The sequence below is a fragment of the Homo sapiens genome, chromosome 7, assembly GCF_000001405.40.
Source record: "Homo sapiens chromosome 7, GRCh38.p14 Primary Assembly".
Classification (NCBI taxonomy): Eukaryota; Metazoa; Chordata; class Mammalia; order Primates; family Hominidae; genus Homo; species Homo sapiens.
Genome location: NC_000007.14, coordinates 64,279,323 through 64,294,493, shown reverse-complemented (window position 1 = coordinate 64,294,493; position 15,171 = coordinate 64,279,323). Strand labels below are relative to the sequence as shown.

Below are 15,171 nucleotides of genomic sequence, written 5' to 3'. Positions count from 1 at the left end.
GATGTGCCTGGGCCCTGCTCTCAGAAAGATAGTGACATTACACTGCACCCAGCACCTAAGACATGTGATTCTCCTCTTCTACATAGGGTCTGCCTACAGCAAGACTTCTGACATATCAATGGGCTCAGCACTCAGGTGATGTGACTGTCATTTTTCTTCCTGGGCCCTGCCCACATGGATAATTGTGACATATCACTGGCCCCAACTATCAGGTGATGTGACTCTTTTGTCTGGGACCTGTCAACAAAGGGCATTGTGACGTACTCCTTTTTTCTCCCCGCCAGACACAGTCTTGCTCTGTCACCCAGGCTGGAGTGCAGTGGTGTGATTTCGGCTCACTGCAACCTCTGTCTTCCAGGTTCAAGTGATTCTCCTGCCCCAGCCTCCTAAGTTGCTGTGACTACAGGCATGCACCACCATGCCTGGCTAATTTTTTTGTGTTTTTAGTAGAGTCAGGATTTTACTATGTTGGTCAGGCTGGTCTCAAACTCCAGACCTCAAATGATCCACCCACCTCAAAGTGCTGGGATTACAGGCATGAGCCACGGCGCCTGGCATGACATATTTCTAAGCTCAGCACCCAAGTGCTGTGACTCTCCTGAATGGGTCCCACGAGGAGAATTGTGACATATCCCTGGACCCAGTCCCTTAGGCCACATGACCCTCCTTTTTTACCTAGGCCCAGCCCACAAAAGTAATTGTGACATATCAATGGGCCCAGCATCCAAGAGATGTTATTTTTTTGCCTAGGCCCTGCCAACAGAAATACTTTTTACATATCCCTGCTTCAGCACCAGGTGTTGTAACATGTTTTCTGGTTCACACCCACAGTTGTGATTTTGACATATACCTTTTCCTAGCACCTGAGTGATTTGCCACTTTAGCCTGGGCTAATCCCACAAATAGAATTGTGACATATACCTGGCACAGGCACCTAGGTGATGTAACTCTTGCCTTGATGCTGTCCTCAGAGGGGATTGTAATATATCACTGGGCCCAGCACCTGGTGATGTGGCTCATGACATTTTCCCTGGGCCGTGCCCAGTGGGGATTGTAAATATCCCTGGGCCCTGTATCCATGTGATGTGACCTGGGCCCTGCCCACAGAGGCACTGTGACATCTCTGGGCCCATCCCTTTGGTGGTGTAATTCTCCTTTTGTGCCCAAGTGTGGCCTTCAGGAGGGATTGTGACATATGCCTGGACCAAACACCTGGAAGATGTGACACTCCTGCATGAGCCCTGCCCTAAGGGGATATTTTTACATGTTGCTGAACTCAGCATCTAGGCGATGTGACTCTACCCTCCTGTATGGACCCTGCCCACAGGGGGCACTGAATCATTTCACTTGGCTTAGCACCAAGAAGTTGTTACTCTCCTACCGGGACCTCTCCCACAGGGGACACCTAGATAATGTGATTTTTCTTCGTGGTTCCTGCCCAGAGTTCAAATTGTGATGTATATCTGGGCCCAAAACACAGGTTAAGGTAATAACTCTCCTACCTGGGCCAAGACAATAGAGATTTTGGCTCTCGTAGCTAGGCTTAGAACAATGGGTACATATTCCTGACCCAGCTCCCAGGTGATATGACCCTCCTACCTGGTCAGTGCTCACAGGTGGGATTGTTACCTATGTTTGGACTCAGCTCACAGGCATGGTGATGACTCTCATCTCTGGACCTAGCCAACAAAAAAATATGTTGACTCTTGTACCTCAAAATAGAAAATCAGGTAAGATTATGGGTCCATAGCAGAATGAAGTTCTCAGAGCTGATTGCAACTTTCATGCATATCATATAAAGCTCTCCAGTGGTACAGAGAGTGTTGTAACAGAGCCCAGCACACAGCTGTGATTGTGACCCTCATATGTACACCCAGCTGACAGAAGGATTGTCAGTCTACCACGTGAACACAGCACACTGTGGAGGTTCTGAATCTCACAACCGGAGACAGTCAAAAATTGGAACCGTGATCCTTGTATATGAATGCAGTCCACAGGTTGGATGGTGACTCTGATACCAGGATTAAACACACCTAATAGGCTGTGGTTTTTCTACCAAGACATAGTGTGCAGGTGTGATTGGGGTTCTCATGCACAAATAAAGTTCAGTGTTAAGATTGTGACTCATGTATTTGAACCCAACTCACAGGAGATGTTGACTCTCATACCTGGAGCTGAGACACGTGCTGGATTGTGAATCTCATGTTTGGATTTTACCGAAGGTGTGATTGTGACATATACCTTTGTCTAACATCTGAGTAATGTGACTCTCATGTGTGGGCCCAGCACGCATCAGATGGGATTGTTACATACACCTGGGCCAAGCACTTAGGCGATGTGACTCTCCTGCCAGGGCGAGCCCTGTAGTAAGGAGGATTTTAACATATTGCTGTACTCAGCACCTAGGTGATGGGATTTTTCTTCCTGGTTCCTGCCCAGAGTTCAAATTGTGACATATATCTGGGCCCAAAACACAGGTAAGGTAATAACGCTCATATCTGGACTAAGACAATAGAGAGATTTTGCCTCTTGTAGATAAGCTTAGAACAATGGGTATGCCCAGAGTCTCCTACTTGTACAAAGTACACAGAAGACTATGACACTAAAAGATATCATATAAAGCCCTCAGGCTGTACACAGAGTGTCATAACTGGACCCAACACAGAGATAAGATTATTCCTCTCCTATGCACACCCAGCTGACAGGATTGTCACCCTCACACATGGACAGAGACCAATGGTGAGATCCTGAATCTCACTTGTAGGCACAGTTTACAGTTGGAATTGTACCTATTATATGTAGATCCAGCCACAAATAAGATGGTGACTCATTTCTGAACCCAGCTTACAGGCAAGGTGATAACTTTCATGCTTGAATCCAGCCAATAAGAGAAGTATCGACTCTTGTGCCTGGGCTTAATTAAGGCCATGGGTAGTATCATGGGATTATACCACCACTAAAATTTCAGAGCAGGCCGAAACTCTCACACATACCCTATTAAGCTTTCTGTGGTACAAAGAATGTAATAACAGGGCCTAGCACACAGGTGAGATTGTTACCCTTGTGTGTATACCCAGCCAACAGTAAGAACTTACACCCTCTCACATAAACACAGCCCACTGAATTTTACATCTGAAGGAAGATGAAAGGTGACATTGTGACTCTTCTATGTGGATCTGGTCCACAGTTAGGAGGGTGACTCTCAAACTAAGATTCAGCACAACTGTGAGCATATGGCTACCCTACTGAGATACTGTTCACAGATGGAGTTGAGGCTCTCATTCAGGGATCCTGTCCACCATTGAGATTCTGTCTCACATACTTGGACAAAACTCACAGAAGGTGTTGACTCTTATACCTGAACCCTGAAAATGTGTGGGATTATGAATCTTATTCACAGGCCTTCCTGCAGGTGTAACATATACTTTTGCCCAGCAGCTGATTGATTTTTCTGTCCTGTGGAAGCCTAGCCAACAATTGGAGTTGAGATTATGAAATATACCTGAACCAGGCCCCTAGGTGATGTGAGTCTCTGACCTGGGCTCAGCCCATAGGGGACATTGTGACATGTCTCTGGGCCCATCACTTAAGTGATTTGACTCTACTTTCTTGCTTATGTTCTGCCTCCATTAAGCATTTTGACATGTCACTGAGCTCACCAGTTTGTGATGTGGCTCTCTATAGGCTGTGCCCTGCTAACTAAAACAATTGTGACATATAGCTGAGCCAAGCAACTAGGTAATGTGACTCTTTTTTGCTACCTGTGCCCTTTCTACATAAGGGATTATAATGCCATTGGGCCAGGGCGGGGCACAGTGGCTTATGCCTGTAATCCCAGCACTTTGGGAGACCAAGGTGGGCAGATCACAAGGTCGGGAGATTGAGACCATCCTGGCTAACATGGTGAAACCCTGTCTCTACTAAAAATGCAAAAAATTAGCCAGGCATGGTGACAGGCGCCTGTGGTCCCAGCTACTCAGGAGGCTGAGGCAGGAGAATGGTGTGAATCCTGGAGGTGGAGCTTGCAGTGAGCCGAGATCGAGTCACTGCACTCCAGCCTGGGTGACAGAGCCAAACTCCGTCTCAAAAAAAAAAAAAAAAAATGCCACTGGGCCAAGCACCCAGGTAATGTGACTCTCCCGCCTGTAGCCTGCCTACACAGGGCATTGTGCCCTATCACTGAGCCTAGCACCCAGGTGATGTAACTCCTTTTTATGGACTGTCAACAGAAAGAATTGTGACATACCAATGGCCCATCACCCAAGTGATATGACTTTCTTGCCTTCTTTTCACACACAGGTAGAATTGTGACTGCTACCTAGGCCCAGCACACAGAAATTATAATGTCTCTCAGATGTAGAACCAGCCAAATGGTGAGATTTTGACTCTCATAGATAGGTTTAGGGCAAATGATAAGGTCCTGAATCGCCTACTTGTAGAAAGGTTACAGAAGGTTCCTACACACACACATATATTATGAAGTCCTTGGCTGGTACAGACAGCATCATAATACAAACTAGAACACAGGTGAAATTGTGACTTTCATAGGCACACCCAGCAGAAGATTAGGATTGTCACTCTCATATGTGGACAGAGCCTACTAGTAAGCTCCTGAATCTCACATGTTGATTAAGTCCACAGTTGGAATTGTGACTGTTACATGTAAATCTGGCCACAGGTGGGATGGTGACTCATTTCTGGTCCCAGCTCATAGGCATGGTAAGGACTCTAATACCAAGACCCAGTCAATAGAAGAGATGTTTACTTCAGTAACTAGGCTTAGGGCAGCAGGTAATGTCCTGGGTTTCTTACTTGTACAAAAGTCAAAGAGCCTTACAACACGCAAACATATTATACAATGCTCTCAGGAGGTATAGAGAATTTCATAACAGGGCCCAGCACACAGATGAAATTGTGACTCTTGTTTTCACACTCAGCTGATGGTAAGGATTATTACCCTTCCATATGGACACAGCCCATTGTTGAGGTTCTGAATCTCACAGCTGGAGGCAATTGAAAGTTGGATGTGTGATTCTTATACATGGATCCAGATCACAGGTAAGATGATGACTTCTGAATCAAGATCAAACACCCTTGTGAGGCTGTGTCTCCCCTATCAGGATACTATTTGCAGATGAGGTTGGGGGTCTCATACACAGATCTAGTCCACGGTTGAGGTTGTGACTCAGGTACTTGGACAGAATTCACAAGAGCTGCTAATTCTTATATTTGGAGCCAGGCCATATGCAATATTGTTAATCTCATCCCTGGACCTTTCTGCAGGTGTGATTTTGATTCATACCTTTGCCCAGCACCTAACTGATTTTACATTTCTGCATGGGTTCAGACTAAATGTGGGATTGTGACATATACCTAGGCCAAGCACATAGGTGATGGGACTCTCCTGCCTGGGCCAGTCTCTCAGAGGTGACTTAGAAATATCTTATGCAGCCATCACCTAGCTAATGTGACTCTCCTCTCCTGCCTGGGCTCAGCCCACAGGGGCATTATGACGTATTACTGGGTTCATCACCTAGGTGACATGACTCTCCTCTTCTGCCTGGGCCCCACCCCCATTTGGAATTTGGACATATCCGTGGGCCTATCACCTAGGTGATATGAATCTCCTCTTTTGCCTTGGACCTTCTTACATGGGGAATTGAGACAAATTACTGGGCCCAGCACCTAGCAGATGTTACTGTCTGTTTTGCCTGGATCTTGCCTACAGAAGGGATTGTGACAAATCAGTGGGCCAAGCATCCAGGTGATATGGCTTTTCTGTCTTAGCAGTGCCTATATATAGCTGGGATTGTGACATACACCTGGGCCAAACATCTGGGTAATGCAACTGTTCTTTCTGAGCCCTTTTCTCACAGAACATCATGATATATCTCTGTGCTCATCACCTAAGTCATGAGAGTCTCCTCTTTTTCCTGGGCTCTGTCCACAGGGTAATTTGTGACATACTGCTGGACCCAGCACCCAGATCATTTGACTCTCCTGCCTTGGTCCTGCCCACAGAGGGCATTGTGACATGTGAGTGGGCTCAGCAGCCAGATGATGTCACCTTCCTGCCAGGACTCTTCCAACAGAAGGGGCATTGACCTACTCAGGCTCAGTATTCAGGTGATGTGGCTTTCCTTCCTAGTCCCTGCTTGCAGGTGGTATTGTGACATATATCTGGGTCCAGTTCATAGGCATGATGATGACTATCATACATGGGTGCAACCAATAGAAAAGATTTTGACTCTTCTAGCTGGATTTATGACAATGTATAATGTCTTCAGTCTCCAGCTTCTGGTAAGATCACAAAGTATGAGGAAGCTTATGCATATTCTATAATGCCCTTTGGTGGTACAGAACATGTCATTCCAGAGCCCAGCACATAGCCAACAGTTAAAATTGTCAATCTCACACATGGACAGGGCCCACAGTTAAGGTCCTGAATGTCACTAATAGACACAGTTTACAGTTGGAATTTTGACTGTCATATGTGGATCTGGCCACAGGTTAAGTGGTGACTTATTGCTGGACCTAGCCCACAGGCATAGCAATGAGTCTCATATCTAAACCAGTCAATAGAAGAGATGTTGAATCTCATCCCTAGACTTGGAGAAATGAGTAAGATCATGGGTTCATATAGGCACAAATGTTTCAGAGTGCATTGCAAGTCTTACACATATATACAGCCACACTTGACGCAAAGAGTAGTATAACAAGGTCCAGTACACAGCTGAGATTTTGACTCTCATATGCATACACTGCCAACAGTAAAGAATGTCACACTCCCACATAGACACAGCCCACTGTTGAGGTTCTGAATCTCACACCCAAAGGCAGTCAGAAGTTGGTATTTTTACTCTTATATGTGGATCCAGCCTTCAGGGGAGACGATGAGTCTCTGACCAAGATTCAGCACCTATGTTAGGCTCTAACTCTCCTAATAGGTGCTGTCTGAGGTTTGGCTGTCATGCGTGGATTCAAGTTGCTGTTGAAATTGTGATGTGCAGCTGGGCATGGTGGCTCATGCTTGTAATCCCAGCACTTTGGGAGGCCAAGGCAGGTGGATCACCTGAGGTCAGAAGTTCAAGACCAGCCTGGCCAACATGGCAAAACCTCGTCTCTACTAAAAATGCAAAAATTATCTGGGTGTGGTGGCACACACCTGTAATCCCAGCTGCTCAGGAGCCTGAGGCAGGAGAATCACTTGAACCCAGGAGGCAGTGGTTGCAGTGAGCCGAGATCATGCCACTGCACTCCACCCTGGGCAACATGAGTGCAACTCTGTCTCCAAAAAAAATAAAATATTAAAATAAATAAATAATAAAAAAGCAAAGAAATTGTGATTTGCATTCTTGGACACATGAGGTTTGTAAAAGTTCATGAGGTGTGTACTTTTATACCTGGACCCAGAACATGTTCAGGAATGTAAATTCCATTCCTAGACCTTCTCACAGGTGTGATTGTGACATAATAACTTTTCCCAGCCAGAACTTGACTGATTAGACTATACTGCCTGAATAAAGCCCACAGTTTGAATTGTGACATATGCCTAAGCCAATAGCCTCTGTACAGTGACCCTCCTGCCTAATCCCTTCTTGCAGGTGGCATTGCGATATACCTCTGGTCTCATTTCCAGAGGAGTGATTATCATCTCCTGCCTGGACCCTGTTCACAAGGGGATTGTGACATATTGCTGAGACCAGCACTTCTGTGATGTAAACCTTCAGCCAGGGTTCTGCCCACAGGGGTCATTTTGACACATCACTGGTCCCAGCACCATAGTGATGTGAATTTCCTACCAGCACTCAACTCACAGGGGGGGATACTAATATACCCCTGGCTCAGTATTCAGATGATGTGACTCTCCTGCCTGGTTCTGCCCACAGGTGGGATTCTGGCATATACCTAGGTACGGATCACAGGAATAATAATGACTGTCATATGAGAGCCCAGCCAATAGAAGAGATTCTGACTCTCATGGCTGAGCTTAGAACAATCAGTAAGGTTCTGGGTCTCCTAAATGTATCACAATTACAGAGGATTATGACACTCATAAATATTCTATAAAATACTTGAGTCATATCAGAGCTAATTACAGAGGTAAAATTGTGCTTCTCATATGAGGCACACTATCCAACAATTCGGATTGTCACACATGGACAAAGCCCACTGGTGAGGTCCTGAATCTCACATGTGCAAACAGTCCACAGTTGAATTTGGGACTGTCATATGTGGATCTGGCCATAGGTCAGAAGGTGACTCGTTTCTGGACCCAGCTCATAGGCATCTCAATGACTCTCATACCTGCTCCCAGTTAATAGAAGAGATGTTGACTTTTGTATCTAGGCTTAGAGCAATGGATAAGGTACTGGATTTCCCACTTTTACAGAGGTCTCAGAGAATTACAACACTCATGCATATTGTATGCCCTCAGGTGGTACAAAAAGTGTCAAAACAGGGCTCCTGTCAAAATTGAGACTGTGACTCATGTGTACACAGGCCACAGTTTGGATTGTAACTATTAAATGTGAATCTGCTCATGAGGTCCTGGATGTCACTCACAAAAACAGTTCACAGTTGGAATTGTGACTGTCATATATGGACCCATCCACAAGTGGGATGGTGACAAATTTCTAGACCCAGCTTACTGGCATACTGATGACTCTTATATCTGGACCCAACAAATAAGAGAAACGTTGACTCTCATACCTGAACTTGGGGCAATATGTAGGATCATGAGTTTATACCAGTATGAAGGTCTCAGAGCAGGTTTTCATTCTCATGCATTAAAAAAATAAAAAATAAAAAGCTCTTGAGTAGAACAGAGGGTATAATACAAAGGCCCATCACACAGGTGACATTGTGATTCTTCTGTGCACACACAACATACAGTGAGGAATGTCATCATTCCATATGGACACAGCCCATTGTTGAGGTTCTGAGTATCACTCCCACATCCATTGTAAGTTGAATCTGTTACATGGATGCAGTTCACAGGTAGAATGATGATTTTATACCAAAACTCAGCACACCTGTGAGGCTGTGACTGCCCTAATGAGATAGTGTTTGCAGGTGAGGCTGGAGCTGTTATGCATGAATTCTGTCCACAATTGAGATTGTAACTTGTGTACTTAAATACAATTCACAAAAGGTGTTTTCTCTTATACCTTGAGCCAGGAAATATGTGGGACTGGGAATCTCATCCCTGGACCTTACTGCAGGTGTGACTCTGACATATAATTTTTTCCCAGCACCTGATTGACTTTACCGTCTTGCCTGAGCTCAGGCAACAGTTGGGATTGTGACATACCTGGCCCAAACACCTAGGTGATGTGACTGTCCTGCCTGGGCCCTGCCCACAAGAGGCATTGTAAGGTATCTCTGAGACCATCCCCTAGGTGATGAGACTCTACTTTCCTGACTATCCCTTTCTCCAGTAAGATTTGTGACATATAATCTGGGCATGTTATCTAGGTGGTATGACTCTCCTCTCATGACTGGGCCCTGTTAACAGGGTGGAGTGTGACACAGTACTGGGCCCAGCACCTAGGTGTTGTGACTCCCCTTTCCTGCATGGGCCTTGCCTACACAAAGGATTGTGATATATTGCTAAGCTAAGCACCAAGGTGATATGGCTCTTGACTGGGTTCTTCCTAAGTGGGCATTGTGACATATTACTAAGCCTAGCAATAAAGGTGATACAACTTTCCTGCATGGGTCCTGCCCATGGAAGGATATTGACATTTCCCTGGTCCAGCATTCAGGTGATGTGACTTTCCTCCCTGATTCTGCCCACAGGTGGGATTATGACCTATATCTAGGCCCAGGCAACAGTCATGATGGTGTCTTTCTTACATGGACCCAGCCAATAGGAGAAATTTGGACTTTAATAGCTAGGCTTAGGGCAACAACTAAAAGCCTTGGTCTAGTAATTATAAAAAGGTCACAAAAGATTATGACACTCACATGTATTTTATAAAGCCCTTGGGGTGTATAGAGAGTGATAAACAGGGCTTAGCACACAGGGGCGATTGTGACTCTTGTAGACACATGTAGCCAACAATCGCAATTGTCACCTTCACACGTGGACAAAGCGCTCTGGTGAGATTCTGATTCTCACACATGGATGCAGTCCAGAGTTGGAATTGTGACTGTCATATGTGGATCTGGCCTCAGGCTGCATGGTGAGTCATTTCTAGATCCAGCTTACAAGCATGGTGTTGACTCTCATGCTTAGACCAAGCCAATCGGACAGATATTGACTCATAGCTAGACTTAGGACCATGGGTAAGGTCCTGCTTTTCCTACCTGTACAGAGGTCACAGAGGACTATGAAACCCTAACATATGGTATAACTGGTATAATTCCCTCAGGTGGTACAGGCAGAGTAGGTCTAAACAGGGCCCAGCACAGAGTTAAGATTGTTAATCTCATATACACATCTAGTCAAAAATTAAGATTGTCACCCTCACACACAGACAGTGATCACTGCTGAGGTCCTAAATCTCTTGTGGGTGCGGTTCAAAGCTGATATTGTGACGGTCATATATGGATCTGCACAAAGGTGGGATAGTGACTCATTTCTGGACCCCTCTCACAGGCACAGTGATAAATCTCATTCCTGGGCACAGCAAATAGAACAGATGTTGACTCTCCCCTCGGGGCTTAAAGTAATCAGTAAGATCATGTGTCCACACAAGCATGCAAATCTCAGAGAGTATTGTGACTCTTGTGCATACCTTATAATGCCCTCAGGTACTACAGAGAGCATTATAAAAGGGCACAAAACACAGATGAAATTGTTACTCTCATATGCACAACCAGCCAACACTATGGTCACTTTCCAAATGAACACAGTGCACTGTTAAGGTTCTGAATCTCACACTTAGAGGCAGTCAAAGTTGGCATTGTTACCATCATATATGGATTCCATACACCTCTTGGACCAAGATTCAGCACCCCTGTGATATTTTGACTTTTTTAGTGGAACACTGTCTGCAGGTGGAGTTGTGGCTCTCAAACACGGATCCAGTCCACTGTTGAGGTTGTTACTTGCCTTTTGGGTGCAACTCACAGGAGGTGTTGACTCTGATCCTGAAGTTGGGCATGTGAGAGATTGTAAATTGTATCTCTGGACACTTTCACAGGTGTGATTGTGACATATACCTTCACTCAGTATCTGACTGATTTTTCTCTTTGCCTAGGCTGCACCTGCGGTTTAGATTGTAAATTATACTTAGGTTGAGGGCCTAGATAATGTGACTTTCCTGCTTGGGCTCTGCCCTCCCGGGGTATTGTGAGATATCTCTGGGCCAATCACCTAGGCGATGTGACTCTCCCTTTCTGCCTGGGCCAGTCCACAGGGGTTACCATGAGATATCCTTTGGCCCATCACCTATGTTATGTGACTCTTCTTTGCCTTGAATCTGTTTACATGAGAAATGGTTACATATCACTGGGCCCATCACCTAGATGGTGTGACCGTCTTCTACCTGGAACATGTTTACAGGGTGGATTGTGCCATATTGCTTTTCCTAGCACCCAGGAGATGTAAGTTTTATTGTCAGGACCCTGCCCTTAGTAAAAATATTGACATATCGCTGGGCCACCACCTAGTTGATGCCACTCTCCAGCCTAGTCTTTGCCCACAGGTGGGATGGTCACACATTTGGCCCAGCTCACAGGTGTAATGAAGACTCACATATGTGAACCCAGCCAATAGAAGAAATTTTAACTCTTCTAGCTAGGCTTAGAAAAACAGGCAATGATCTGGGTCTTCTACATGTAGAAAGATCACACAATATATCACACTCATGCGTATTCTATAAAGCCTTTGGGTGATATAAAGAGTGTCATATCAGCATCCAGCACAGAAGTAAAATTGTGACTCTTATAGGCACACCCAGCAGACAATTAAAATTGTCTCCCTCACACATTGACAAAAGTTACTGGTGAGGTCCTGACTCTCATATGAGGACACAATACACAGTTAGAATATTGGTCACATCCCATGTGGATCTGGCCAAAAGTCAGATGGTGGATCATATCTGGACCCAGCTTACAGGTCCAGTGATGACTCTTATACCTGGACCCCACCAATAAGAGAGGTGTTGGCTCTCTCTCATAGCTGGGATTAGGCCAAAAAATAAAGTTCTGGGTTTTCTACTTTAAAAAATATCACAGGTGATTACCACACACATGCATATTCTGTAAAGCCCTCAGATGGTACAGAGAGTGTCATCATAGGACCCAGTACCACACTGAGGTTGTGACTATTGTATGCACACTCAGCTGACTGTTAAAATTGTCACCTTTACATAGGAGACAGCAAAATAGTGAGTTCCTGAATCTCACTGACAGACACAGTCCACAGTTGGATCATGTCTGTCACATGTGGATTGAGCCACAGGAGGGATGTTGACCAATTTCTGTAACCAGATAACAGGAACAAAAATGACTCTCCTACCTGGACCCAAAAATAAGAGAGATGTTTACTCTCATGCCTGGGCTTAGGGCAATGGGTGAGATCCTACATTTGGTATTGTAAGAAACACCTGGGCAAGCACAAAGGTCTCAAAGCAGATTGTGAGTCTCACATGTGCCATATAAAACCCTCAGGTGGTACAGAGAGTGTCATAACAGAAACCAGCAAACAGGTCAGATTCTGACTCTCATATGCACACCTGGCTGACAATAAGGATTCTCATCCTCCCACCTGAACACAGCCTCCTTACAACGTCCTGAATCTCACACTCAGAGGCAGTCAAAAGTTGGAATTGTGACTCTCATACGTGAATGCAGTCCACAGGTAGGATGGTGACTCTCACACCAAGGTTCAGTGTTGCGGGAAGTCAGGGACCCCAAATGGATGGACCAGCTGAAGCCATGGCAGAAGAACATAAATTGTGAAGATTTCATGGGCATTTATTAGTTCCCCAAATTAATACTTTTATAATTTCTTATGCCTGTCTTTACTGCAATCTCTGAACATAAATTGTGAAGATTTAATGGACACTTATCACTTCCCCAATCAATACTCTTGTGATTTCCTATGCCTGTCTTTACTTTAATCTCTTAATCCCATCATCTTCATAAGCTGAGGATGAATGTTGCCTCAGGACCCTGTGATAATTGCGTTAACTGCACAAATTGTCTAAACAATATGAAATCTGGGCACCTTGAAAAAAGAACAGGATAGCAGCAATGTTTAGGGAACAAGGGAGATAACCTTAAACTCTGGCTGCCTGTGGGCTGGGCGGAACAGAGCCATATTTCTCTTCTTTCAAAAGCAAATAGGAGAAATATTACTGAATTCTTTTTCTCAGCAAGGAACATCCCTGAGAAAGAGAATGCATCCCTAAGGGGAGGCCTGTGAAATGGCCGCTTTGGAGATGGCTGTCTTTTACAGTCATAGCGGAGGGAAGAAATAAGCCCTGGTCTCCCGTGGCACTCCCAGGCTTATTAGGACGAGGAAATTCCCGCCTAATAAATTTTGGTCAGACCGGTTATCTGCTCTCAAACCCTATCTCCTGATAAGATGTTATCAATGACAATGCGTGCCTGAAACTTCATCAGCAATTTTAATTTCGCCCGGTCCTGTGGTCCTGTGATCTCACCCTGCCTCCATATGCCTTGTGATATTTTATTACCTTGTGAAGCATGTGATCTCTGTGATCCACACCCTATTCGTACACTTCCTCCCCTTTTGAAAATCACTAATAAAAACTTGCTGGTTTTGTGGCTTGGGGGGCATCATGGAACCTGCCGACATGTGATGTCTCCCCCCAACACCCAGCTTTAAAATTTCTCTCTTTGTACTCTTTCCCTTTATTTCTCAGACCAGCCGACACTTAGGGGAAAGTAGAAAAGGACCCACGTGAAATATCGGGGGTGAATTTCACCCAATATCTGGTGCCCACGTGGTCTTTCTTTTTTCCTAAGTGCATGTGGGAACCCAATTCCCTTTGGTAGGTGTGGAGAAGTGTCATCGGTTTGGTCCACAGATACACGTGTTTGACTCCCTGACAACTGGTGAGTAGTCTGTGTGTGGTCCGGGTTAACTATGGGTCATGCTACTTTTTATTAACAATTGTACTTCATTCCATTTATATCACCCTTCTTCACTGTTTCAATGCCTTCTGCACTTCATATCAGTGAAAAACAGGCCAGCTGGTGCCAGGAAATGGGCGTTTTGCTAGTGCTACTTTAAGAGTAATGATGAAGAGCACTTGTCTGAATCGTTCCCATGTGGCAAACACTGTGATCTGGCCTAAAGTACACACATTTATTATTTTCCTCTAAATGTACTAATGAAATAAAATTCTTAGCTAAGAAAGGCTTGATCTCATTCAAATATGTTTTATGAAATTTGGTTGACATTTCAGTGTCTCTGACTTAAATGGAATATTTAAAATTTCCGTGAATCCAAATAGAGTGTTATACATGAACAATCTTTTGCTAAAAGCCTTTCTGGGGCAGAGTAAGATTCATAAAATTTCTTTATAACATAGAAGAAATGTGGTTAACTATGTTCCCGGTATCAACTCTGAACACTGAGCATTCTCAGTTCCCAGTATTCACCCTGAGTCATTCAGGAAAAACTGGTATCTCTGTAAGGAGACAGAAAAAGTGCTTGGGGGAGGGTCACAATATTGCACATAAATTCTTTTTTCATGCACTATTAGGATACTAATCTAATTGGTCTATCATTTGCATGGCTAGATTGTTACTGAATGTAGTCATACTATTTTGTTTTTTGCAGCTAATGACATCTGTTACCTATAAGTTTCATACAATAACTTGCTCAGCTGAGACATGAACCTTTGTTAATTTACCCTCAATTGAGGGACTAGATTTGCAGTTTCCAATCTTTCAATGTTAAAGCAAATCAGAGAAGAGTAGTGTGGGTATGTAATATGCATTTTCCTGCCTAACTATCAAAATTCTTCTCATATTGCCTTTGACACTGTAGGCAGCCACCTAAAAAATATTCCCTCCTAATTTTTTAGCCAGGATATTAGATTTTAAAAGGTCAAGTACTTAATAATTGGGCAAAGCCAAAATCTTGTCTTTGCTTCTTGACCATTTCAAAGAGCATGGCAATTATGCCAAGGCATTGAAAGATGTGGTTCTGATGACTGTTATTTTATTTCAAATGTTCTCTCTAAT

The 15,171-nt window shown here is 44.4% G+C and overlaps 1 long non-coding RNA gene across 4 annotated transcripts; it reads left to right on the top strand.

Moving 5' to 3' along the window:
- Positions 1-2,231: 2,231 nt before the first annotated feature.
- Positions 2,232-7,073, top strand: LOC105375323 (uncharacterized). 4 transcript variants are annotated; one of them, XR_927595.2, is made up of 4 exons: positions 2,232-2,477; positions 4,938-5,058; positions 5,951-6,126; positions 6,948-7,073. It is a non-coding gene; the product is annotated as an uncharacterized LOC105375323 (long non-coding RNA). The 4 variants fall into 4 exon arrangements; XR_927597.2 differs by having other exon boundaries at positions 4,938-5,764; XR_001745021.1 differs by lacking the exon at positions 2,232-2,477 and adding an exon at positions 4,304-4,373 and having other exon boundaries at positions 4,938-5,764.
- Positions 7,074-15,171: the final 8,098 nt, after the last annotated feature.